Genomic DNA, 27,052 nt, shown 5'->3' on the forward strand with positions numbered 1-27,052 from the left:
TAGTCTGAGTAATGATGAGAGTCATTCTAGGAATAGAATTAGAAGGTACTTACAGGAGGCCAGAGATCTGAGGGACAGAGGGTGGTGGAGACAACGGTAATCACACCTCTCAGATATAGTGTACCTTTTTATTAATTCATTTTTTTCTTAGTGGTCAGTTAAAGTATGGTAAAAATAGGTGGAAACTCAGAATTTCAGGGTCTTTTACTCAAATATAGGCCTGTTTATGCCCAGAAGAGACCCTGAACGTAGACTTCAGAAGCATTATCAATTTCTATTTTAAAAGTTAAGTATATGTGGACAGCTAATAACTCAATATTTCTTTTCACATAAAGATATATTTTAATTCAAATATGATAATTGAAGATGGAAAGTAACTCATGTCGTGTCTACTCATATATACTTTACATATAATAATCTGCATAGATTTTAAATACACAGGTCTCTAATATTTGGCAAAAGTATACACTCATCATATAAGTATTATGCCAAATGAGATAAGGAACATTCCCACCTTCCCAAATATAACCTTGTGCTTTTTGTAATCATTCATCTCAAACTCTCCGTCCCAAGCAACCACTGAGTGATTTTGAATATTATAGATTAGTTTTGCCTATTTTAGAGTTTTATGTAAGTAGACTCACATAGTATGTACTTTTTTGTGTCTGGTTTCTTTTGCTCAGCCAGGTTTCTGTGTGTGTCATTATTTGTTCTGTTTTATTTCTTTTTATTTAGGATCAGTATTCAAGTGTTCAAGAATCCCAAAGTGAGGAAAAGATTTGAACAGACATTTTACAAAGGCAGATATACTAATGCCCTTAAGTGTGTGAAAAAGGATGCTCAGTATTGCTAGTCATCGAGGAAATGCAAATTAAAGCCACAGTGAGATACAGCAGTACACCCACTTGAATGGCTAAAATTTAAAAACTGGTAAAACCAGGTGTTGGGGACCAAGTTGTATTTGCATTGCCGTTGAGGGGTGTACATAAGACTTGTTCATGATTATTCATAGCAGCTTTATTCATAATAGCCACAAATTAGAATCAAATGAAATGTTTCTCAACAGGTGATTAGATAAATACATTTTGATATAGTTTTGATTTTGTTCTTCTACCTGAGGTTTCTCCTTGGCTAAAGTAGAAATGTGTACAATTTTCCGAAATTTTGATAGGGAAAGATTATTGAAATAAATAGCCAGGTCTTTGTTAAGCCAAAGCTATGATAGAATCCTATTTCATATAATTAATACATTAAAAAGCAGGAAATTTCTGCGTTGTGTTTGTGATCTAGAGTAAGCTAGTAGAATGTGATTGAAAATGTTGTCCAGCTATATTTTCGGCTTGTGTGAAAATGGCTGCCAACTGAAATTTCTCTTCTTTTTTAGAACTGAATTATCTAGAAAATGGAATGAACTTCTTTATCACCCTGGCAGAAATTGGCAAAAACTGTAAAGCAGTTTGTTTTAATTCATCCTGTATTTTTTCAGTCTTAGTTTTCGTGTTACAGGTTTTCTTATTTTCCAGATTTCATAAGTATTTAATGAGATTTTGGGAATGGCTTTGTTAAAAACTATTAGCTAAATTGTAATTTAAACCAAAAAACTTCTTTGGAATTGTATTTTAACTGGGTTATTCAATTCTTTTTTCTTTGAGACTTGTCGCTCTGTTGCTCAGGCTGGAGTGCAGTGGCCCGATCTCAGCTCACTTCAACCTCCGTCTCCTGGGTTCAAGCTATTCTTTTGCCTCAGCCTCCCTAGTAGCTGGGATTCCAGGCATGCGCCACCAAGCCCAGCAAATTTTTGTATTTTAGTGAGGACGGAGTTTCACCATGTTGGCCAGGCTGGTCTCGAACTCCTGACCTCAAGCAATCCACCTACCTCGGCCTCCCAAAGTGCTGGGATTACAGGTGTGAGCCACCATGCCCAGCCTGGTTATTCAATTATTAACAGCATCACATAGCAAATTTTTATCAATGTCATTTGTATTATAGTGATAATTTTTTTGGGGGGAGATTGTTGTTTATTTATAAATGAGATTAAACTCTATGAATATGTTAAGGATGATGAATTAAGGGACCTGTCAGGAATACTTTCTGAGATGGCAGAAAATTGGTGAGATCAGAAGTCAGAATTCTTGAATCCTTTATGTATAGTTTGTATATTGTAATGCTGCTTTTCCTTGAAATAAGAATACTATAAATTTGAACCTTATTCTTATAAATGCAACTTGGAGGATTAACTGCAAGTTTCAAGCTGTTTCAAATTAATTTAAATTTGCATGGAAAACTCACATGGTGATTGTTTCCTAAGGGGACTCTAGGAATCCTGTGGCTACATTTAGACAGGAGAGAAGCTAGGTTAAAAACTGACTTAAAAAAAAAATTGCAGTAGAATTATGGCAGGCTTAATTTTAAACATTTAGAATTGACATTTTTTAATTTAAATACCCAAGGTTTATTTTTACCTTGGAAAGTGTTTTTTTGTTTTTTAAATTTATACATACAAGAAATGTGTTAAACCTGTCATTGTCTTATTGCTGAAGTGTAATCATTTTTGAGGCAACTCTGCAGTAAATTGATTATGAATCAATATCAAGTTGTAAAGTTGTTTGCTTTTCCCCTGACCATCTTACTTCCTTGTTTCCAAAAGTAAATCAAGGGAGATTAAAACTAACAAACAGACATTAGTGTGAAATTGCTGTTAAGATCCAAGACTATATATTCAAGGTAGATTATTCAAATCCTCATGTAAATATACTTGAAGAAAGAAGTAATAAAACTATTGATAATCTTTGCCTAAAACCCCGTTTCACAAATATTTTTCAGTAGGGCTCCCTATTCAAGTTTTCTCAAACCATTGACAGCATGCCTACAAGTACTGTGGTGTGGGACATGAGTGTTTGGGTTAGGGGACAACCTGATAATATAATTGTTCTTTTGATGGGGAGTTATGAAGGGAGGGCATTGTGCTTGTTGCATAACCTCTAAATATGGTTCTCTAGGCTTCCCTAGAGATTCTATGAGCTATAAAGAGATATTTAAAAACTTTTTATTTGGAAATGATTTTAGACTCACATTTACAAAAATAGTAGAGAGTTTCAATTGTACCTCCCATTCAGCTTTCCTTAATAATATCTTATATAACCATAGTGTTAGTGTTAACTAAACTACAGACCTTATTCATATTTCGCCAGTTTTAACATGCATTATTTGTATGTATATATGTATTCTATGAACCTTTACCACATGTGTTGATACTTGTAATCACCACCGCAATCAGGGTATAGAACTTTCTCATCATCCAAGAGAAACTTTTTCATGCTATTCCTTTATACCATCTCTGCAGCCTTGGCAACCATAATCTGTTCTTCATCACTATAATTTTGCCATATTGAGAATGTTATATAAATGGAATCATACTGTTGTTAAAGAAAAAACTTATTTAAACTCTTGTGCAAGACAGTAAGACCAGACTTAATTCACTACTCCATTGAGGTTTTGCCCTATGGGAGGGAGATTGGGCTCAACTCAGAATATAACAAGGACAAGTGGATATTTATAGCCAAGGAGCAGGGTGGGAGTCAGTGGATGGAAAATTACTAAGAGAAAACATCAAGGCTGGAGGGACTCTTGCTAGACCAACTCAACAGGATTCTTGCTGAAGACAGGCCAGGGTGGTAAATTATTGAGAATGGGGGATTTTCAGTAAACGGACTTATTAGCAGGATTCTTGCTGACATTGGACTAAGTGGACCAAGGACAGAACCCAAGGTCAAGGCCCAGTCAGAAAGAGGACCCAGAGGAGCCTGACTCAAGGTTTGATAAAAGAGTCTTTATCAGTCTTAAGGTGCTGAATTGTGGCCCCCCAACATTTATATGTTGAAGCCCTAACTTCCTGTACTTCAGAATGTGACCGCATTTGGAGATAGGGCCTTTAAAGAGACAATTAAGTTAAAATGAGGCTTTTAGGGTGGGCCCTAATACAATCTGATTGGCCCTAATACAGTCTGATTGTTGTCCCATAAAGGAAATTGGGAGACAGAGACAGGAGGGCTGTGAGAACAGAGGAAAGACCCTGTGAGGTTGTAGTGAGAAGGCAGCTGTCTTATTCTGGTTGGGCTGCTATAACAAAAATTCCATAAACTTGAGTGGCTTAATCCTGGCCATTTTAATAGGCATATCTAATAATGTTGGTATCTCATCACGGCTTCAATTTGCAATTCCCCAATGGCTAGTGCTGTTGAACATCTTTTCATTTGCTTATTTTCCAACCCCTATATTCTCACTAGTTGAGTAATTGTTTCTTATTTTAGTTCAGATGTAGAACATTGCCAGCCTAGAGTCAAGGCTAGGAAGTTGAAATTGGGGATGGGGGATAAAGGGCATTTGGTATTAGCAGAGAGGTGGGATACTTTAGGGACTGTGAATTGTTAGTTCAGTCACAATCAAATAGCCCTTTGAATTTAGTTCTGAAATTGGGGTCTGTCCTTGGGGTTATGCTTTTTGTGTCATGTTAAGAAAAATCAGTGCTTGAGTGAGATATGTATTTTGCTAGAGACTGTTAAAATATATGAATGTTATTCTGAAGGGAATAGGTGAACTAATTGCTACCCCTTTACATACTTGCTCATAGCATTAAGTAGCTAGTAAAAAACCAGAATCCAGAAGACATTGGATTAAAGGTTGTCTATAAATAAGATATGGAAAACGAAAGTAATTTTGTATGTAATGTTAGCTTTGTATAGGAGTTTCTTTCTTTGTTTTTTTTTTTTTTTTTTTTTTTTGAGATGGAGTCTCACTCTGTTGCCCAGGCTGGAGTGCAGTGGCGCAATCTCAGCTCACTGCAACCTCTACCTCCCAGGTACTAGTGATTCTCCTGCCTCAGCCTCCCGAGTAGCTGGGACTACAGGTGCCCACCACCATGCCCAGCTATTTTTATATTTTTGTGTTTTTAATAGAGATGAGGTTTCACTATGTTGGCCAGGCTGGTCTCGAACTCCTGACCTCAGGTAATCTGCCCACCTTGGCCTCCCGAAGTGCTGGGATTACAGGTGTCAGTCACTGTGCCCGGGCAGGAGTTTCTTAAATCTTGAAAAGCTACTGTTGTTAGAAGCAAATGAGGCTAAAAGACAAAGAAAATAAATCTCTTAATGTAGGTTTTGTAGATTCTTTGGATAATTTTTAAGTGTATCCTCTGTTGACTTCAGGCATTTACTTCAAATAATCTTATCTTAGTTTTAATGGGACTGATTGTAGAACATCAAAACAGAAAAGCTTTTGCATGTTTTTGAAGATCTATTATCCTTTCATATCAGATTGCTTTTTCATATAGCATTCATAACTGGATTTTAGGTTATATAATTTTAGGGAGAGTTTAAGAGTGAACATGTGTACACACACAGACACACACACAATCTTCGTCGTGTCCCTTTTCTTTTTTCTTTGGGTTTGACATTTCTTCTCATCTGTTTTATTGCCTCTTTTTTTTAATGTGTCCAAATAGAGATTTGTACTATTCTTAGGTTTCTGTTATATGTAGCACAATGGAAAGCACACTCAGAGAAGCATTGCCATTTCTCTGGTGGTCGCATAACCTAACTATCTGTCCCCAATTTAGATAACAACTGTGAACTACCTCAGTTCTGATTTCAGTGTCCTGACATGCTTTTAAAGAAAATTTGGAGTCTGGGCACAGTGGCTCACACCTGTAATCCCAACACTTCGGGAGGCCAAGGTGGGAGGATCACTTGATCCCAGGAGTTTCAGACCAGCCTGGGCAATAAAGTGAGACCTCCATCTCTCCTACAAAAAAATTAAACAATTAGCCAGGCCTGGAGGTGCACCCAGCTACTTGGGGGGCTCAGGTAAGAGGATTGCCTTAGCCCAGGATTTGAGGCTACAGTGAGCAATGATAGTGTCACTGCATGCCAGCCTGTTCGACAGAGAAAGACCCTGCCTTTAAAAAAAAAAATGTGATTTGTTTTGTTTGAGCAGTTCATTTTTGAGAGATAAACCTAGGGATTGTAAGTCATCATGCACCTAATGATACTTTCATAGAAAAGCTGCTAAATGTGTGCTGATATTGTGGCCTAGGTCTAGTTTTGATAACTTCACTGTGTTTACCTTATCTCTCTTCCTTCACTAATGAAGATAACATTGTTTCATTCTTATGAGATTCCTGTGTATGTGTGTGTATGTTTTATTTCTGTATATATTTTGGACTTAGTAAAATTGCATGGGTAGTTGTGGCTGAAAGGGAGTGAAACTGAAGCAGTCTTCTTAGATCACTGCAACATTTGGGTCTAATGTAGGTATTTTAGGATATTAAAAACATTAATTTTCTTCCTTAATATGAATGTATTCTAAGCCAAGTAATATGTTATCACCAATTTAGCCTTTTTACATATGAGATGAATGAAATACTGGCATTTGAGGTTTCTTTTTGTTTGTGACAGAGGAGGAAGTAAGATTATAAATTTGCCAACAATTGGACTAAATGAAGTTGGAAGTAAAGTGAGAAAACTTTCCATTTTTGGGGGGGGTTGGGTAAGTTATATAATTACTTTCATGAAAGGAATTTGTTTAGATTCTACTGAAAATGGCAAAGGAGGAAATTTCAAAACAGGATATGTATGTGGAAATACTAAGAATTGTATTCATATTTTTCTTCGAAGTCAGAAGACTGAAGGGCATTGAATGAGAAATCTGGGAGGCAGGAGTTCAGTTCTACTTGTTCTGTGACGGGCACTATTAAACCTAAAAAGAGTGGACACTTAATAGCTTCTCAGAAAATGTACAAAAAGAAAATCTGTTTGCCTTGATTATAGCCAATTAGCAAGTGAAGTGTTTGCACTTTAAAAAAAGTCCTTAGTGTTATTATGGCATTAAAATAAAATTTTTATATTTTCCATTTTAATGTTAAGAATATGACAGTTAAAAATAGTTTTGAGAAGAATTTCTGTAATTCACAGGTTAACATGATCATATGTTCAGATTTTTCTTTTTAAGACCTTATATACCTCACAGGATGTTAAGCTTTTAAAAAAATTCCTGTAGAACATTGAAGAACTGAGTAGTCCTTTGTCATCTACATAGCAGGCAGTCAAATATTTGTTTCTTTGATCTGAAAACTAAATTTTGCTGTAGTTAAGCTGTATTAGCAGAATGCCCAAAGGCTAGTCTAACTCCATATCATAATCTAAACAGGAACATTTACTAGAAGCAGTTAGGACTTTTAGTTCACAATACAAGTAATACAGCTTTTTCTAAATTCTACCATTAGTACTTGCAGGTACCTGCTAAATCAGGAGTTGACACACTAAAGCCATTCAAGCCAAATATAGCCAGCTGCTTATTTTGTAAATAAAATTTTATTGGAACACAGTCATGCCTATTCGTTATGTATTGTGTATGGTTTCAGTGGCAGTGTTAAATAGTTGTGACAGAGATCCTGTGGCCTTCACAGCTAAAACATTTACTATCACATTGCCAACCCCAGTGCTAAATGATGGCATGAAAAAAATGTATATAAACCTTTGTTCTATTTTATTTTATTTTAATTATTATTATACTTTAAGTTTTAGGGTACATGTGCACAATGTGCAGGTTAGTTACATATGTATACATGTGCCATGCTGGTGTGCTGCACCCATTAACGCGTCATTTAGTATTAGGTATATCTCCTAATGCTATCCCTCCCCCCTCCCCCCATCCCACAACAGTCCCCAGAGTGTGATGTTCCCCTTCCTGTGTTCTATTTTAAATAGTGTTGAAAGACTAGAACACTTTTAAAAAAATCAAACTATTGCTCTTACTGAAAGGAAGCAGAGCACATATTTTGTCCACTTTCGGAATCCTTAGGGGAGCAATTTGTTCCCTTGAGTATGAAGCAGAAGTTACTAAACAAACTTGACTTTAACTGCAGTTACATTATAACCTTAAAGAGCTGGCCAGAAGTTTCAATGGTTGAATAAAGGTGAAAAACTAGTGTCTTTACAGAAGTTAGTGGTTAAATTATTCAAGACACTCAAAACAGACATTTAAAACCATTTCTCTACATATTTTATTTGGTTTACAGTGTGTAGCAACTTATTTCACTTGTTTTATGGTATAAAAGTCATTCAAATTTCCTAAAGCTTGAATGAGGCCATTATGTGGCATATCTAGAAAGACTTGGGTTTGAATCCTGCTTTCTCCACTTAATAGTTATGTGGGACAAGCAACTTCTCTGTTCCCTGTTTTTTTTTTTTTTTTTGAGACAGAGTTTCGCTCTTGTTGCCCAGGCTGGAGTGCAGTGGCGCAATCTCAGCTCACGGCAACCTCTGCCTTCCAGGTTCAAGCGATTCTCCTGCCTCAGCCTCCCTGGCAGCTGGGATTACAAGCGTGCGCCACCATGCCCAACTAATTTTGTATTTTTAGTAGAGACGGGGTTTCTCCATGTTGGTCAGGCTGGGTCTTGAACTCCTGACCTCAGGTGATCTACCCGCCTCGGCCTCCTAAAGTGTTGGGATTACAAGTGTGAGCCACCATGCGCAGACTTCCTGAGTTTTTAAATATGTAAAATGTACAAGGTCTACTTCATAGGGTGGTTGGGTTAACACATGTAAAGCACTTAGAACAGTACCTTGCATGGTTATACTGATAACCATGTTATCAGTATGGTTTGCTTTTATAATGCTTTATTGAAACTCCTCCAGTCACAAGGTGGCAGCTTTTGTTGAAAGCCATGTAATTGATTAAAGCCTTAAAAAAAAAATCTCAAGAATTTGCCCTGAAAAGCCCCAGTTTTTTTTCTGTAACACCAATAATTGACAAGTGATGCCATTCATGAGGTATCAGAATTGAAAACCAATCAAGGAAGTTACGTTTCTGAAGTAACATGGAAGTTACCCATATAGTAAAATCAATTTTAATTATTGAGTAAAAGTTAATTGAAGCACATTTCTTTTAATCTCTTGATTTATTTTTTTTCTTTCGCTTGACTGCCTTCTGCCATTTAACTATCTTCCTCCACCAGCTTGGGTTTCTGAAAGTGTAGTGTATTTTTTAATATATCAGAATCCTGGGTCTCTGCTCTCTCTCTCTTTTTTACTTTTCTTTTCTTTTTTTTCTTGCGACAGGGCCTTGCTCTGTCCCCCAGGCTGGATGGCACAATCTTGGCTCACTACAACCTCTGCCTCCTGGGCTCAAGTGATCCTCCCACCCCAGCCTCCGAGTAGCTGGGACTACAGGCACATGCCACCATACTCAGCTGATTTTTGTATTTTTTTTTTTGTTTTTGTAGATATGGAGTCTTGCCATGTTGCCCAGGCTGGTCTTGAACTCCTAGCCTCAAGTGATCCACCCACCTCAGCCTCCGAAAGTGCTGGGATTATAGGCACTAGGCGGCATGCCTGGGCCCTCTACTCTGTTCTGAATAAAAAGTCTCTGGGGATGGACCCTAGGTGATTCATAGGCACACTGAAATCTGAGAACCAGGTACAGGAAATAAAATTATTTGAAATGCAAACCATTGAATTTTATGACTTTTTCATTGCTTTTGGTAAGAGGCTGGACTGTGGAGGAGATGAAAACTTGACCAAAAATGGATTTCTGTGAGCACCACAGAATTTGGTGAGGTTTAGTAGGACTCCGGAGGAATAACATTCGGGAAGGACAGGATGTCTGAACTGTATGACCAGTCCTGTCCTTTTTGCTGTTCTCTCCCTGAGACTCTTTTTTCACCTGGATGATTCCTTCCCCTTTTAACCCCCAGCCAAAACTGTGCTTACAGTGATCAGGCAACAGCCTGATCATTCCAAAGGAAATTTTGAAACTGAGGAGAAACAAATACTTAAAAGAAGAAACATCATAAAAGTATGGACTTCTGAAATATGGGCTTCTGCTCCTAAGATCCTGTTGAAGGGACTGAAGAATTTATTGAGCCTCAGTTCTCTTTCTGCTAGTACCTGATGAGCTGGTGTAACCTGCCTGGCTGAACTTTGCCCCCAGTCTTCATCTCATGGGTACCTTCTTATTTATTGCCACATTGAGGCCATCTATTGTCAAAGATAAACATAACCAGACATTTGTTAAAGTGGTACAAACAGATTTTATTCAGTAAGTACTGATAGTACGGGAAAGAGCTGAGCTCATTCCAATGTGCACAGGTGGTTTGGGCATTTTAAAGGGTGTTTATTCTTTTAATGCACCAATGGGGTATATTATGTTTTTTGAGTGTAGTCACTGATCATTTTTAAATTTGGAATCCTCTACAGCTGATGCTTGATTTGCCTTGTCAGCATTTGCCAAATTACATTCAGAGGCTAGGAAAATTATGCCATCCCCTTTTCGTTGATAAAATTAGTTCTACATTCAGCTTGCAAGTTTTAAATAATTTCTTCTCCCATCTCCTCTTTTTGTTCTGTTACCGTCTTCTCTTTTCCTGTTTATCTCTTCCTTGGATTCATTCCCTCCTCTTGTGTTTTAGGATGAGGAGGCTAATATTAGATTTTAGGGATTTTGCTTAGTTTGCCAACAGTGGTATTGACTGGGTTGTAATTTTTAAAAACCACTGGGACAGCTTGGTTTTAGATGAAGAGGATTTCAGTGAGTAAAGGTATGAATAAACCACACCATATCTTATAAATCCTCATAAAGTCGCTAAGTCTCTTTCAGAACATAATGTGATTTGTCAGTTGTCACACTTTGTGAACTGCAGATGCCATCAATCATGAGAGAGAGAAATTCCTATTTAAATGTTTGATTATTTGTCTTCAGAAAATGTGATTTTCAACTATTTTAGTCACAAACCTTATAAGCAATAATGAATTGGACTCCCATTGGTAGTCCTGAACACTGGGGAGTGTTCATGAGTGAAATACAGACTGATTTAACTTAGTTGGATGCTGCTTACCTAGCTCTTAAGGCTTTAAAAGTTGTGCATTAGGCTGGAATGTTGATATGCGAAGGATTTGTAAAGAAATATATTTCTAGTTAGTGCATTTCATGTAAAGATTTAACCCTTTTTTGTTGTTGTGATAAACAGATTTATTTTCCCGAAAATGGACATTTTCTCTATAGATTATTTTCTTTTATTTAATTAAATTGCATATGCCCCAGGAGTCTCATGGGTATGTACACACTTAATAAATATTATTTTGTAGTTTGGTTTTGAAATTGGAACAAAGTGCTTACTACTTAAGATTCTCTCTTTCTTGTCACTGCAGTGTTAATAGAACATAATTACATACCTTATATAAAAACTTGGTGTATTAGTCCATTCTTGCATTGCTATAAGGAAATACTCGAGACTGGGTAATTTATAAAGAAAAGAGGTTTAATTGGCTCATGGTTCCACAGGCTGTACAGGAAGCGTGGCAACATCTGCTTCTGGGGAGGCATCAGGGAGCTTTTACTCATGGCAGAAGGCAAAACAGGAGTAGGTGTCTTACATGGCAGGAGCAGGAGCAAGGAGAGGGGCAGGCACTGGACACTTAAACAACTAGATCTCAAGAAAACTCAGTCACTGTTACAAGAGCAGCGCCAAGGGCATTGTGGTAAACCATTCATGAGAAATCCACTTGCATGACCCAGTGACCTCTCACCAGGTTCCACCTCCAACAATGGGGACTACAGTTTGGCATGAGAGTTGATAGGGACACAGATCCAAATCATATCCCTAGGTATTCTATTTTGCTTAGAGACTATCATTATTTCTCCCTACCTTTATTCACTCATTCTTTGTCATCTTCCATTACTCTGTTTTCACCTGGTGGGCTCTCTATGTGCTCCTGCTCAAACTTTCTCTCCTACTCTTTACTTAGCACAGAGCTGAGGTGACAGAGGTAAAATCATAGAGTGACACAGGAACAAAAAGTTTTTTTGAGGAGGGAGTAAGACCTAGATCTCATTTTCAGTATAGAATTTTATGAGATAAAGTGATTGAGAGATTATCTGTACATTAACAACTAACAAAGATCCTTGGGAAGGATTCCTTTTTTTTTTTTTTTTTTTTTAAGACAGGGTCTTACTCTGTCATTCAGGCTGGAGTGCAAAGGTGCGATCTTGGCTCACTGCAGCCTCGAACTCCTGGGCTCAAGCGTTCCTCCTACCTAGCCTCTCGAGTAGCTAGGACGAAAGGCAGGTAGCACCACGCCTGGCTAATTTTTGTATATCTGGTAGGGATGGGGTTTCACCATGTTGCCCAGGCTGGTTTTGAACTCAAGTGATCTGCCTGCCTTAGCTTCCCCAAATGCTGGAATTACAGGCATGAGCCACCCTGCCTGGACAGGAAAGATTTTAAAGTACATTCTTTCCCTGAATCCTACTCCATAGTTACATGGTTATTGGTCACTGAAAGAGGAAGTTAGATTTTTCCCAACAACATTTTAAAATTATGGTTTAAAAAAATCAGTTTTCAACTTTGAAACATTTTCTGTGTCGTCTTTTGTTTAAAAGAATCAACTAAAAATCCATTAGATATTTTTCTCAAATATATAATTTGTTCTTTTAGATTTTTTTAAAACCTCATAAATGTAAAATTCACTTTTTAATATTGTATCTGTGATGAGTTTTCTCTGCAACAATGTTTAGCTTTACAAATTCTGCTACTTTAAAACAAAACATACTTCAAGGAATTGTTACTGTTTGTGGCTGGGTTTACATACTCTTGAATCTGAGGGACTGTTATGAAAGGAAATGAAAAGATGGAAAATTGTTGCTAAAAATAATATATAGGAAGTGCTTTACTGGCTCTTACATCTTCAATAAAGAGCTGATGGCTTCTGAAATGACCAGCTTTGATGAATGTGATTATACTTTAAAATTAAGGTATTTTAGAAATCATCTCAAATCTGAATATTGGTACATAAGAAGTTATATTACCTAAGCATTAAGGGAAATGGAATACATTTAAATACTCTTGGAAAGACTTAGTTTAAAAAGATCAATTTCTGAAACTTGGAGAATTTTATGGAGTCTATTTAAAGACAATGTTCATTTATGTGGGCAGAAAACCATACTATCTCCAGGGGGAGGGTGGTCTCTGTTTCTCTAGGTTTATTCCCCAAGTTCATGAATTGTGCATGTAGTTTTCGGCATTTTTTTTTTCTTTTTTTTTGGGGGAAACGGAGTCTCTCTCTTGTGCCCAGGCTGGAGTGCAGTAGTGTGATCTCGGCTCACTGCAACCTCCGCCTCTGGGGTTCAAGTGATTCTCCTGCCTCAGCCTCCCGAGTAGCGGCCATGTTGGCCAGGCTGGTCTGGAACTCCTACCCTCAAGTGATCTGCTCACCTCGGCCTCCCAAAGTGTTGGGATTACAGAGTGGGCCACCGTGCCTGTTCCTAGTGTTTGAGCTTTTTAAGGAAATGTTGCATCTTAGGATAGAAATCACTTAGTCACTATTGGGTTTTTGAGGAGTTCAGCAGTCATAACTTGGATTTATTACATTGTTTAGATGAAACTCTTTATTATTTAAAAACATTTTTAGTCATGGTCACTTTGGCTTTGGGTTTGTGGTTGAAGACTTTAGATATTTTGTCTTTTTAGTGGAATTGGCAGTATTGTATAGAAAAACTTAAATATGCATTTTACCTTTTTTATTTAATTGAATCTAACCTTGGAAAACCTTTCTGTTTCTGAGCGTTCTCTGTATTCTGGCCAGTAGTTTGAATTATTTTACTACCTTTGCTCTGTGTTGAGAGGGTTGGACTGTCATGAGCTTTGAGTAGAGGTACTCTGTTTTTTTTTTTTTTTTTTTTTTTTTTTTTGAGACAGAGTCTTGCTCTGTCACCCAGGCTGGAGTGTAGTGGCACCATCACGGCTCACTGCAAACTTTGCCTTCTGGGTTCTAGCAATTCTCCTGCCTCAGCCTCCCGAGTAGCTGAGATTACAGGCACCCGCCACCACGCCCAGCTACTTTTTGTATTTTAGTAGAGATGGGGTTTTGCCATGTTGATCAGGCTGGTCTCAAACTCCTGACCTCAAGCAATCCACCCTCCTTGGCCTCCCGAAGTGCCGATATTACAGGCCTGAGCCACCGTGCCTGGCCGAGGTGTTCTTTTTTAATGTTAAACTTAGGTAAAATATGTTATTTCAGATTATGTAAAATATGTTTAAAGCACATGCCCAAATTTTAATTTTCATGCATCAAAAACACTGAAATTGACATCCAGAATTTTTTGAAGCATTTTAATAAGGCTAATAATTAGATTATTAATTCAGAATTCAGGCTTACTTCCTGAATTAATTTAAAGTGGAAGACTTTGGAGTGGTTACTGCTCATTTAAAAATATTATAAATTACATGTATATGCATATAAATAAATATTTGTTCGCGTTTTTCTGTTGACTAGAGTAATATATGTTCTTTTCGGAAATTTCAGAAGATACAGAAAAGTACCAATAAGAAAATTAAAACTATTGAGAATCCCATCATGTAGAAGTAACCACCATTTACATTCTGGCAAATAAGCTGTTCATTACCTTTTCTAGCTCAAATTGTATTATATTTTATTTTTAGGAGGACCTTTTATTTTTTTCTTTTCCTTTTTTCCCCCAGACACCAGTGTTACTTGCCAACAGGAAGACATTTTAAATCCACATTTTCTTTCTGTTTATTTATTTTTATTTTTTATTTCTTTTCAAGACAGAGTCTTGCTCTGTCGCTTAGGCTGCAGTGTTATAGTGTGATCATAGCTCACTGTAACCTTGAGTTCCTGGGCTCAAGCATACATCCACATTTTCAACCAAGAATCCTGTAAACAGTCTTGATTATTTGTTGAGAGCAAGAGAGACATATATTAAAAAGAATTAGAAGTTAATACCTGGTTTAGGATCATATTCCTCTCTAATTTCCTCTTTTGAGAAAGTAATTGTAGTTGTTTGTAGATAGCTGATTAACTTTGAAGCATATACATATATTCCTCTGTGCCCATGACTGAAGAGTTTTCTTTGGGTTTCAAGCTCTGCAGTATTCTCACTAACCCAGTCTTCATGAAATCTTTTGACATTGAGGGAATACCTTTGACTTTTGACTGGCAGCACTGTGAACCATTCCATCAGCTAACAAGGTTTTACAGTAACTGTCTGTTGACCAAATTAAATTGCTTCCCAGGAGTCTTGTTCTCTGTGAAGCTGTCTCTGTCTAAATCTTTTCCCTATAGAATTTCCTACAGACAAATCTTGAAGTAAGACCTTTATGTTTGCCATTTAAACAGCAAAATTCAAACAATGCCCTGGTGCAAAATAAGTATAGCAGAACAGAAATTATGCTGATTTGGCATAAACAGTATCAGATCCTCTCATTGAACCATCATGAATGTCTGCATCTCTGACTTAGCAACTGTGAAAGCTATTGAACTATAGGTTACTATTTATTGCTTGCTGAAGTCAAATGCATTGTTTGTCATTTAATAAGAGTCAGTGACGTTGTGCTGATTGTCACTAGATAGGTCCCATTGCTCATCAATGTGTGAATGTGTATAGGTTGTTCACAACTCTGTGCATTCTTTCATTGTCAAGCATAATTTAAAGAGAAGCCCAATCAAGAAGATAACCCCCTTGCTAGCTGCCAGAGCTGTAGCTCTCTTGTCTATGACTTGTTCATTCTGCCAGACTTAATGGTTCAGACCTTTTTTCCCCGCTAGCTTTTTAGAGCTTACCAGGGAAATTGTAATAAATTCAGTGAGAGGAAATGAGCCAGTACATTAACATTTTTCTTTTTTTTCTTTTTATTTGCTTTTTCATACTGAAAATAATGGTCTTTTTCTAAGGGAGGCAATAGCAAGTGATAGTATGTAAATGGTTTTGGTTTTCATCAACATTTTTTTTGAACTAAGCAGTTAAGGAACAGTGGTCACATAAATACACCTACCATTCTGTACAGACATGGTTTCTGCTTTTACAAGTGTTATATGGTATTTTCAAAAAGGCAAAATCACTTAAGTCGGGAAATTAATGAGGAAATCATTAAGATATTATGACTGCCTCAAAGAACATTTGAAAAGTTAGGCATACACAAGCAGTTTGTCAAATAAATGTTTCTGGATTAGAAGGAAAATTTGTTAATGCCCAAGTCAGCCATCATTCTTTGTAGATATCTATTCCACCAGACAGAAATTATTTGCATCTCAATTAGTTGGAAATCTGCAAGTTAACAGGCAATTCAGTAAGTCTGAGACTTTAATCAAAGGTAAACTGTGTGGTGCATTGAGTACTTTTGCTTGGAGTGCCTTTTGCCTCCCCATATAATATTAAAAAGATGTACCCAGTTGTTTTTTATATTTCTAAAGTTTTGGAAATATTTTCTGATATAAGCAGGAAAAGAAAAAAAAATAGGACATAATGTTTTCCTTTACTAACAAGAAACAAGAAAATGAAGAGGAACATATTAGGAAAAAGGATGGATTTGGCAAGAAAGTTTTACTTTGGTAATGTTTCATGTAAAAAACTAAATACATTTCATATTATTTCTATAATAAACAACTTCTTCCTTTTTCTCCTGGTCTGTAATTAGGTGCTTCTCCACCTAAGTGGAAAAGGTTAACTTGATTGAATTCATGTCTTAGGGCCTCTGTTTGTCCCACAACTGAGTGGGATGAACTCTTAGTAGAACTGTGATCTAGTTAGTTAACATTGTAGCAGATGACTTACTGAGTCATTTTCTATTTTGGTTCATTTGTGAGACACAGCTCATGGCACAGGGAAGGATATACAAAGTATTCAATGAATAATTAATAGGAATATGTGCTATAGGAATTTACAAGAAGAAGGGGACTGAGATGAAGATGCTAAAAATGTAAATAATTATGCAAAACAGCAGATGGGTAAGGGCCCAAAGGACTAGAGAATTATGGTCAGGAAGCATTTTTTTTCTCCAGGGAGGCAAACTTGCTGCAGCACCAATCCTCCTTTTGTCACCTAATTTAATCATGGTGGTATTTTTTTGGTTCTGTCATTGTTGTAGTAATTTTACTTGGTGGTGCCATTAAAAGTTAATTTAAATGGAATTTTTATTGTAAATTGGCAGTTTATAATTATACAAAGTTATGGGTCACAAAGTTATGTTATAATTTATGAATACAATGTGGAATAATGAAATCAAGCTAGTTAATATGTCTGTCACCTCATTGGAATTTACTCTTAGCAAGTTTTGAAATGTGCAATACCCTGTTATTAACTATATTCATCATGCTGTGCAAGAGGACTCAAAGAAAAAAAAAATTTCTCTTAACTGATATTTTGTACCCTTTGATCATCATCTCCTTATAACTCCCACTCCCCCAGCCTCTGTAACTACCTTCTATTCTCTGCTTCTGAGTTCGATTATTTTAGATTCCCCATGTGAGAACAGATGACTTTTTTTCACTTATCATGTTCTCTAATTCCATCCATATTGTTGCAGACAACAGAACACCCTTCTTTTTGTAAGGCTGAATAGTACTCTATTGTGTATACATACCATATTTTCTTTATCCTTTCACCTGTTGATAGATACTTAGGTTGATTCCATAATTTAGCTATTGTGAATAGTGCTTCAGTGGACATGGGAGTGCAGATACCTCCTCAGCCTACTGATTTCAAATCTTTTGGGTAAGTACCCAGAAGTAGGATTGCTGGATTTTGTGGTAATTCTATTTTTAGTTTTTTGAGGAATCCTTGTAACATTTTCCATATTTGCTGTATTAGTTTACATTCCTGCCAACGGTTTACAAGTGTTCCCTTTTACTCCATGCCCTTGCCACCACTTAATCCTTCATCTTTTTGATAAAAGCCATTCTGGCAGGTGTGAGATGGTATCTCATTGTGGTTTTGATTTTTCATTTTCCTAATAATTAGTGAAGTTGAACATTTTTTAAAAAATGTGTCTTTTGGCCATTTGCGTGTCTGCTCTTGACAAATAATGTCTATTCTGGTCCCTTGCCCATTTTTAAACTGGATTTTTTTTGGTTTGTTTTCTTGCTATTGAGTTGTTTGAGCTTCTTATGCATTTTGGATGTTAAACCCTTATCAGGCGTAACACTTGGAAATATTTTCTCCCAATTCATAGGTTGTCTCTGCATATTGTTGTTTCCTTGGCTGTGTAGAAGCTTTTTAGTTTGATGTAATCCCAGTTGTCTGTTTTGCATTTGTTGCCTGTGCTTTTGGGGTCAAATTAAAAAAAAAAGTGATTGCCTAGATCAATGTCATGTAGTTTTTCCCATATGTTGTCTTCTAGTAGTTTTAGAGTTTCTGGTCTTATGTTTAAGTCTTTAATTCATTTTGAGTTGATTTTTATATATGGTGTGAGATAAGGGTCCAAGTTCATTCTTCTGCATGTGGAAATCCAGTTTTCCCAGCACCATTTGTTGAATAGACCGTCCTTTTCCCATTGTATATTTTTGACACCTTTGTTTTAAATCAGTTGGCTGCACTTGTGCAGGTTTATTTCTGGGCTCTGTATTTGGCCAATTTTTATTGGCCAAAATTACTTATATATTTAAAAATTTGGGTGATTCAAACACCTCTCAAAGTATATATGTTGGTGGCTAGACATAATCCTGTGTAGTCTTATGGTAGGCAGCTACTTAAATATGTATTTCCTAAAAGAATCATTTGAGTAGAATAAAAATTATGGTATTATAGGCTGGGCGCGGTAGCTCATGCCTGTAATCCCAGCACTTTGGAAGGCCGAGGCGGGCGGATCACTAGGTCAAGAGTTCGAGACCAGCCTGACGAACATACTGAAACCCCGTCTCTACTAAAAATATAAAAATTAGCTGTGTGTAGTGGCGCACGCCTGTAATCCCAGCTACTTGGGAGGCTGGGGCAGAAGAATCGCTTGAACCTGGGAGGCAGAGGTTGCAGTGAGCCGAGATCGTACCACTGCATTCCAGCCTGGGTGACAGGGCGAGATTCCATCTCAAAAAAAAAAAAAAAAATTATGGTATTATAATGTCTATGTTAAATTTGTTTCGTTACTTGTAGGAATGGCAAAGTTGTGACAAAGCAGAAGAGTTCATAGATACATGTTTGTTTTACAAGGGCATTTTATGTGTTTTAGCAGAAAGGTTAACATTTTGACTGATATATTTACGAAGGTTATAAGAAGGAAAAGCTAAAATTAATATTTCACAATTCTAATTGCTTTTGCTTGGCTCCTCTCTGCATAGTATGTATTCTGGTTTTTAAATATTTAAAATTTCATCTCCTCTGGTGTAAAGTGGAAATGAAATAATTTGGGGTGGCAGATTTTTGTTAATGATAGTCTCCTTGCTCCTTTTTTAAAGCAGAGTAATGCTCATGTTGTATCTTTCTAGCATTAAGAAAAATTATTTGCTGAAATGACAATTTCTTAAGCAGTAACAACGTCTAGAGAGTGAACATTTATAACATGCTACTTTGTGTTGTGTGATAGATATAATTGATAATTCTGCTTTTTCCTGTTGACTAATTTCTAACTGTCATGATATATATCTTTCTGAAGTATTATTTTTGGTAGGTTCAGGCAGATTGCAGAAAGGCAGGTATCTTTGTTTGCCAACATTCTCGTATAATCATGGATTGTTAGAAGTGGAAGGGATTCAGAATGATTCTAGGGTATCTCTTCATTTTCATAGTTGAAGAAACTGAGACCCTATCAGGGGACAGAGTTAGGAGAGGGGTGTGTGTGTGTGTATATGAGTACGTAACAAAATCATGGGTTCCTACTGATATCTTCAGTTCTAACCTTGCATCTTGGAGTTGTTTGTAAATACCTCCTTTGGCAGTAACATAGCACCCATTATCCTCAATATATTTTATTTGCACAATCAAAAATAATTTTCTGTATGTAGACCTCCCAATTACACTGCTATCTTCATTGTTTATCACCTCTAGGCCATCTTTGTTCCTTTGCCACTGCACCTGTTGCCCTGGGCCTGTGCACACCCCCAACCCTTTCTCACTGCCCTGTGTCCTTAGCTACCTCAGCCACTATGCTGATTCCTGAATACTGGAGACAAAAGGGAAGGCAAGATGAAAAGGGAAGGTTATACTTCTTTATTAATTCACATAGATTACCCTTGGCTCTGCCTGCCACATTTTCATGAGAATTTCTTTTATTTTTCAGATTCCTCTCTTTATAGTAGCCTGAGAATCTCTAGGTAGTTACTCATTCTTAGAATTGGTCCTGGTTACTATTTTCACAGAAGAGAAACATGAAAATCTGATTACCAAAGGGGTTGTGCTTCCTGCAGTTCAGTGTAGTCTTTGTCCACTAGAAGGAAGAACATTGTTCTCCCAGCAGCCTGACACACCACAGTAATGTATGTGTATGCTGCCATTGCTGGTTCAGCATTTATTTCTGTTGGTGGAGTGAGGCTCAGCCATGGTCTTTCTAGTTCTGTAGTTACAGCTTCTTCAGAATACACAGACACACAAAGCCATTTCTTGGTAATTCACTCTGAGGAGTAAATACTTCCTCAGAGCCAGGGGATTGGTTGGGAGGAGTTTGCAGTTCTAGACAGCCAGATAGCATTGTTTCTGAAAAGACGTCTTGTAAAACTTTAGCATTCTGGCCCTTGAGCATAGAACAGTCCTTTCTGTTCTCAAATCTATTGTCTTAAGCCTTTTCCTACCTCAGGATCATGAGTAACTGTTTTTTTTGTTTTTTTTTTTTTTAGAAGTAATAGAAAACTTGCCTCAGAATAGCTTCAATAAGAAAGGAAATGAATGTGCTCAGATAACTGGCAGAATTCACTGATAGCATGGGCATAGGCCTGGCACACGCCACTTCTTTTTTTTTTTTTTTGAGACAGTCTTGCTCTGTCACCCAGGCTGGAGTGTAGTGGCACCATCACGGCTCACTGCAACCTGTGCTTTTTGGGTTCAAGCAGTTCTCTTGCCTCAGCCTCCCCAGTAGCTGAGATTACAGGCACCCGCCACCATGCCTGGGGCTGCTTTCCTAGATACACAGAAAACAAGGTGGATAGGTGAGAAGCACTAGAAATATCCATTCAGTTATTAGTGGGGATTAGGTTCAGGGCTGTTGTTTAAGGAGCCCTTAAACTTTAAATTTCAACACAGGAATGGAGGTCCCTGTGTAAGGATTGGGAATGGGACCTAATAACTGCTCCCTCAAGGTGAGTTGCGAGTCAGCTGGCCATCTCCATCTCCCATGCATTACCTTGATGTACCTTCCAGTCCACCATCTGCTTGTGCACCAGGCTGCACCTACTGTTCCATGATGGAAGGGAAGGTAGAAGTTGGGCTGGAAGGAGATGTTGGTCCAGATCTGGGTACATTTACCCTTGTGGTACCTCTTGGGAGCAAGAAAGTCCAGGCCCTGGAGCCTTCCACTGACAACTCTTGAAGGCCCACCTCAACTGAAGCCTCACTGATAGCACTTTCATGAGATGCTGGTCAGGGAAGAGCTTCTGATTTGGCCTAGGCTAGTGGCAGTGCCACCAGGCAATTGCTTAAAATCTTCTTTCTGCCAAATTCTGTGATGTATTAAAGTATGCGATACATGAAAATTGAGAGTGGCTTTGGTTTTGTTGTAGGTCTGGATCTATTTACCTTTATTAAGCTCTGGAGACTGACATATGATATTTTTAGATGTATGAGTGCAGATTTATGGAGATATTGGTTCTGGATTTAGTATGAGATGCTAAACCTGGTCCCCATTGTTCTCAAGGAGATGATTACAGAAGTGACACACATATGAAACAATTGAAGAACAAAGTAACACCTCTGTGGCAATTATTATTAAAGTTATTAGAGATTCAGAGATCAGATCCTTCTGGTGCAAAGCTAAGAGATGGGTATTAAGCTATTCCTGAAGACGAGCCAAATATGGGTAGTTGGAGAGGAAAAGGAAGGCAGGCATTCCTGAGAGAATGAGCATGGGTAGGAAGGTGTGATGAATGAAATAAACAGTGGGAGATAATGATCACATTGATTTAATTGAAGCAGAATCTATTAGGAGCATAGAAATAAACTTGACTAGGGTAAGATACCGTAATAGAAGGCTGTAGAAGTGAGGCAGAGTAAATTTGTATACTGGGAATATGGTATTTGTGGAACTATTAAAATCAAGCTTGTCAGCAATAGTTTCTTTAAGTATAGAAAGAAGTTATCTTTCACATGATTCATTCCAAATTGAAGAAATGTTAGAGAATTAGGAAAATCTTCTACTTTCTCATCAAAATGACCAAAACCACAAAAACATGTATGTATGCTTTGATAATTAATTGAAGGAAAATTCTGTATTTGGGATGCATAACCTTTTGTTTTTGGTATTATCCTAATAGAGAGAAAAATATTCCCAGGCTTCCAAGAGTAAATTTGAGGGTAGTTCATTTTGGAGTGTTTATGAGTATTTGCTTTATTTACTTCTGGAAAATGAAATAACCAAATCAACACTCAGTTTTTGAAAGTAAATTTGAAAGAATATAAAAATATTGCCTTCAAATGTGTAGCATGCACTTTCTCCAGTGCCGATCTTTATTTATTAAGACAATGTTGTATAGAACATTTTCCAGAGAAATGTTATTAAGGCATGTTCCTGACAAGTGATTTTAATCAAAATAGATTAATTTAAAATGCAACCATTTTTATAAGATATTTTAATTTTCAAATCAGCAAGGATTTCACAGTAATGTAATGAAAATGGAATATTCCTTTAAAGTTTGTAGGTTTTTTGAGGCATCAACATAGTTTTTGAGGGTGAGAGTAGGATTGGCAGGGGGAGGCAGTTCAAAGGAATGCATTGTTAATGGAATACCAAACTCTGTAATACATTTTAAAGAGCTTTATTCAGAGCCAATATGAGTGAGCATGGCCCAGGGAAGCACAGTCTCAAGAGGTCCTAAGAAAGTGCACGCAGGGCAGTCAGATTATAGTTTGAGTTTTTACATTTTAGGGAGACAGGAGTTAATAAGCAAATTCATAAATTGATACATGGAGGTTATACATTGGTTTGGCCCAAAAGGTGGGATATCTTGAAGCAGGGACTTACAGGTCATAGGTGGGTTCAGAGATTTTTAAATTTGCAATCAGTTAAAGAGTAAAGCTTTGTCTAAAAATTTGGAGTTGGCAGAAAGGAATGTTTAAGATAAAAAAGTTGTTAACCATTACACTCGGTCAGCATGACTTATAGGGGTGCATAACTTAGCCCTTGTCTGGTGTGACATTAGGTCCTATTTATAATTTGGTATCTTATTGCCACAAAGAGTCTGTATTGTCAGTCTTATGATCTCTGTTTTAACATTAATGCTGGTCAGTTGTGCCTAAACCTCAAAGGAAGGGGATGTAAGGAGGTGTGTCTGACCTCCCTTCTCATCACGGCCAAGAACTCAGTTTTGTAGGTTTCTCTGGGGTCCTCTTGGCCAAGGGGGAGTCTATTCAGACAGATGGGGAGCTTAGGATTTTTAGCTTACAGCACTTTGCCTAACAACATTTGTGAGAATATAAGGTTGGAATTGTATGAAATTTTTTTAAAACAATCTTTAAATCAAATTGAGGTTTATGTTTCATTTTGATCAGGGATTAATTTGGAAAGTAAAAATAAAGGGTTGCTATACATGTAAATTTCTATCTAAGAGATGACTATTTAGCCCTAGGTGCAGAATTTGAATCAAAGAATTATGATCAAATAATTTCTCATTAAATTGGCAAACATTTGCTAGGAAAAGTCTTTAAACAGTTCTCTTGAACAATTAAAATTACTTTATTGTTGTTCTTAGGCCTGACTCTAAACTTGAGAAACTAAATCTTCTCCTTGTAAGGAGAATAAAATGGCAAAATGTGTCAGGATTATTCAATTATTTTATGTAAATACATCCCATTTACTTTGAGGAGACTCATCATACCTTTTAAAATGAGATCAATCAACACCTTTCTTAGAGTTGATTTCATTGAGCTAATGAATAGGTATTTTTATTCTTGAAATATTGCATTTTTATTCTTCTTATTAATGGCCTTCCCTCTGTATGAATAAATAAATCATTTCACCGCTAGTAGCTTTAAGTGCTTTTCAAGCATTTAAGTGCTTGTAATCACTAAGCAAAGGAGTACTATAGATTAAATGTGTTGTAAACTACACATGAAAGCAATGTCTTTTTTATTATCTGTAACTTTAATGGAAAGAAAATGTTAATTTAGGGTAATGAAATAGACCTCCAAGTATGATCAGTGAATAGACCATTAGGTTAATTAAAATGAGGATATGTATCACTGTTGTGGTGGAACTACCATTGTGGAGAAGACAGATTCATTTAGTGCTTGAATAGTAAAATTCAGACTGTGTCACTCTCAACCTAGACTGACTACACAAAGGAACAAGATTAATGACAAAGGTAACTCAGTTTTGTTTCATTTACTTTTGCCTGTCACATTACTTGTTATTCTAGAGAGCCTGTCACTTAAAGGTGAAAATTTATACAATCTTTAAAAAAACCAACTAAATATAAATTTTGTTACTTTATTATCTGTCATCCCAGGTGAATTAAATACCAAAACAAGATTTAAGTGATAGTAAGTTAATAGTAACGTATACAGATTTTATAACATAACACTCATAAAGCTAGCAACTTTATAGATTTGTAAAAATGCAGTTGAAATGACCACTGCAGCTTAATAGTTAATAGTTCTTTTTGGTGTCTAATACTCAGAAACCTGTTGGAAACTAATTTTGTGTAGTTTGATATCCACTGGCCAAATTACCATTTGAATTTACTAAAGAATTCATTGCTTCACTACTGTACCATAGTTTATAAAGGACTTTTTGAGTGCTCTTTGATTCTTGTCTCTGAAGAATCTTAGCATAATGCCAACATAGTGCCAACCATAATAGTTTTCCAGTTAAGTACTTCCTATTTCTATCTAAAAGGCTTGGCATGTGTTTAAACAAATATTAAGTTCAGTATGCTCTTGAGCTTCTCAGTTTCCCCTGTCATATGGCTAATTTAACGTGTTAATATCTATTTGGGTTTTAGATTTAGAATTACTACATTTGGCCCGTTAGCCAAGCTAGCCATCATTGGCAGCTTTTTGTTTGCGATATGAAGCATGAATGCATGCAGTAAGTGATTTATAAAGCATGTGCTTTCCCTAATGATTTATATGATCAATCAGTCAAATATTTATTGAATTCTAGTTCTGAGTCCAGTATTGTAGTAGGTACTTAAGGCTTGCATATACTATACTTTAGTATACTGTACTTTATACTTCATTCAGTTCATTACAGAATCTGCATATGTTTATAAAAGAATTGTTTCTTTCCTTAGCTTTACAAGTAAGAAAACTTTTTAGGAAGGTAAGATTCTCTTCCTCTTTTGTTTTAGCCTCTTGATTCTGGGAAATGTTTTCTTATCCTTGCCTTATTTCTCTATTTTCCTGAAATTTACCTTGATGATATTTAGTAGGAGCTATTTAATGAGTTTATGTATATTTAATGTTTTTGATGATGCATGAATGTTACCTTATAACTAAATGTGATATAGTAAAATTTTGTTTTAATTATTATTATTTTTTTGAGACAAAGTCTCACTCTGTTGCCCAGGCTGGAATGCAGTGGTGTCACCTCGGCTCAATGCAGCTTCCTCCTCCTGGGTTCAAGCAATTCTCCTGCCTCAGCCTCCTGAGTAGCTGGGATTACAGGTGCCCACCACCATGCTTGGCTAATTTTTGTACTTTTAGTAGAGATGAGATTTCACTGTGTTGGCCAGGCTGGTCTCGAAACCCTGACCTCAAGTGATCTACCACCTCAGACTCTCAAAGTGCTGGGATTACAGGTGTGAGCCACCGCATCTAGCCTGATATAGTAACATTGTAGTACTTATGTTAGGAAGTGAATCTTTATTCGATAATTGGATTCACCATAAAATTTTTCTGAAGAATTGACTTAGAACATTTCACAGGTCTCATTTTGTCCCACTTTTTTCATTTAAGGCTCATTCCAGCATTTAAAGAAAAGGAAAGAATTGTAAAGATTCTTAATAGGTCCCGAAAGCTGTAGCAGTGAAGGCAGTGCTAGAGTATGAAAACTCTCATGAATTTATCCATAGGCCACGTGATCTCTTTTGATGTATCTGTTTTGTGTGTGTGTGTGTGTCTGCTTTTTTCTAACTACATACTGGCTTGTTCATTTCCTTTCTTTTTTTTTTTTTTAATTATACTTTAAGTTTTAGGGTACATGTGCACTATGTGCAGGTTAATTACCTATGTATGCATGTGCCATGTTGGTGTGCTGAACCCAGTAACTCGTCATTTAACATTAGGTATATCTCCAAATGCTATCCCTCCCCCCTCCCCTCACCCCACAACAGGCCCTGGTGTGTGATGTTCTTCTTCCTGTGTCCATGTGTTCTCATTGTTCAGTTCCCACCTATGAGTGAGAACATGCGGTGTTTGGGTTTTTGTCCTTGCAATAGTTTGCTGAGAATGATGGTTTCCAGCTTCATCCATGTCCCTACAAAGGACATGAACTCATCATTTTTTTATGGCTGCATAGTATTCCGTGGTATATATGTGCCACATTTTCTTTATCAAGTCTATCATTGATGGACATTTGGGTTGGTTCCAAGTCTTTGCTATTGTGAATAGTGCCGCAATAAACATATGTGTGCATGTGTCTTTATAGCAGCATTATTTATAATCCTTTGGGTATATACCCAGTAATGGGATTGCTGGGTCAAATGGTATTTCTAGTTCTAGATCCCTGAGGAATCACCACACTGACTTCCACAATGGTTGAACTAGTTTACAGTCCCACCAACAGTGTAAAAGTGTTCCTATTTCTCCACATCCTCTCCAGCATCTGTTGTCTCCTGACTTTTTAATGATCGCCATTCTAACTGGTGTGAGATGGTATCTGATTGTGGTTTTGATTTGCATTTCTCTGATGGCCAGTGATGATGAGCGTTTTTTCATGTGTCTTTTGGCTGCATAAATGTCTTCTTTTGAGAAGTGTCTGTTTATATCCTTTGCCCACTTGTTGATGGGGTTGTTTGTTTTTTTCTTGTAAATTTGTTTGAGTTCATCGTAGATTCTGGATATTAGCCCTTTGTCAGATGAATAGATTGCAAAAATTTTCTCCCATTCTGTGGGTTGCCTGTTC

The 27,052-nt window shown here is 36.9% G+C and overlaps 1 protein-coding gene across 6 annotated transcripts in view, besides 1 other annotated feature; it reads left to right on the top strand.

The window, feature by feature from the left end:
• PRIM2 (DNA primase subunit 2) overlaps positions 1 to 27,052 on the top strand; it is a 425,311-nt gene that overhangs the window by 204,151 nt on the left and 194,108 nt on the right. The gene's annotated exons all lie outside the window — the stretch shown is intronic.
• Positions 8,285 to 8,459: a silencer, noted in NCBI's record as "fragment chr6:57298773-57298947 (GRCh37/hg19 assembly coordinates)". NCBI's record gives its function as "represses an EF-1alpha promoter that drives an FKBP-Casp9 reporter gene in an ReSE screen in HepG2 liver carcinoma cells {active_cell/tissue: HepG2}" and the evidence as "EXISTENCE:reporter gene assay evidence [ECO:0000049][PMID:32094911]".

The sequence above is a fragment of the Homo sapiens genome, chromosome 6 (genome assembly GCF_000001405.40).
Source record: "Homo sapiens chromosome 6, GRCh38.p14 Primary Assembly".
Taxonomy (NCBI): Eukaryota; Metazoa; Chordata; class Mammalia; order Primates; family Hominidae; genus Homo; species Homo sapiens.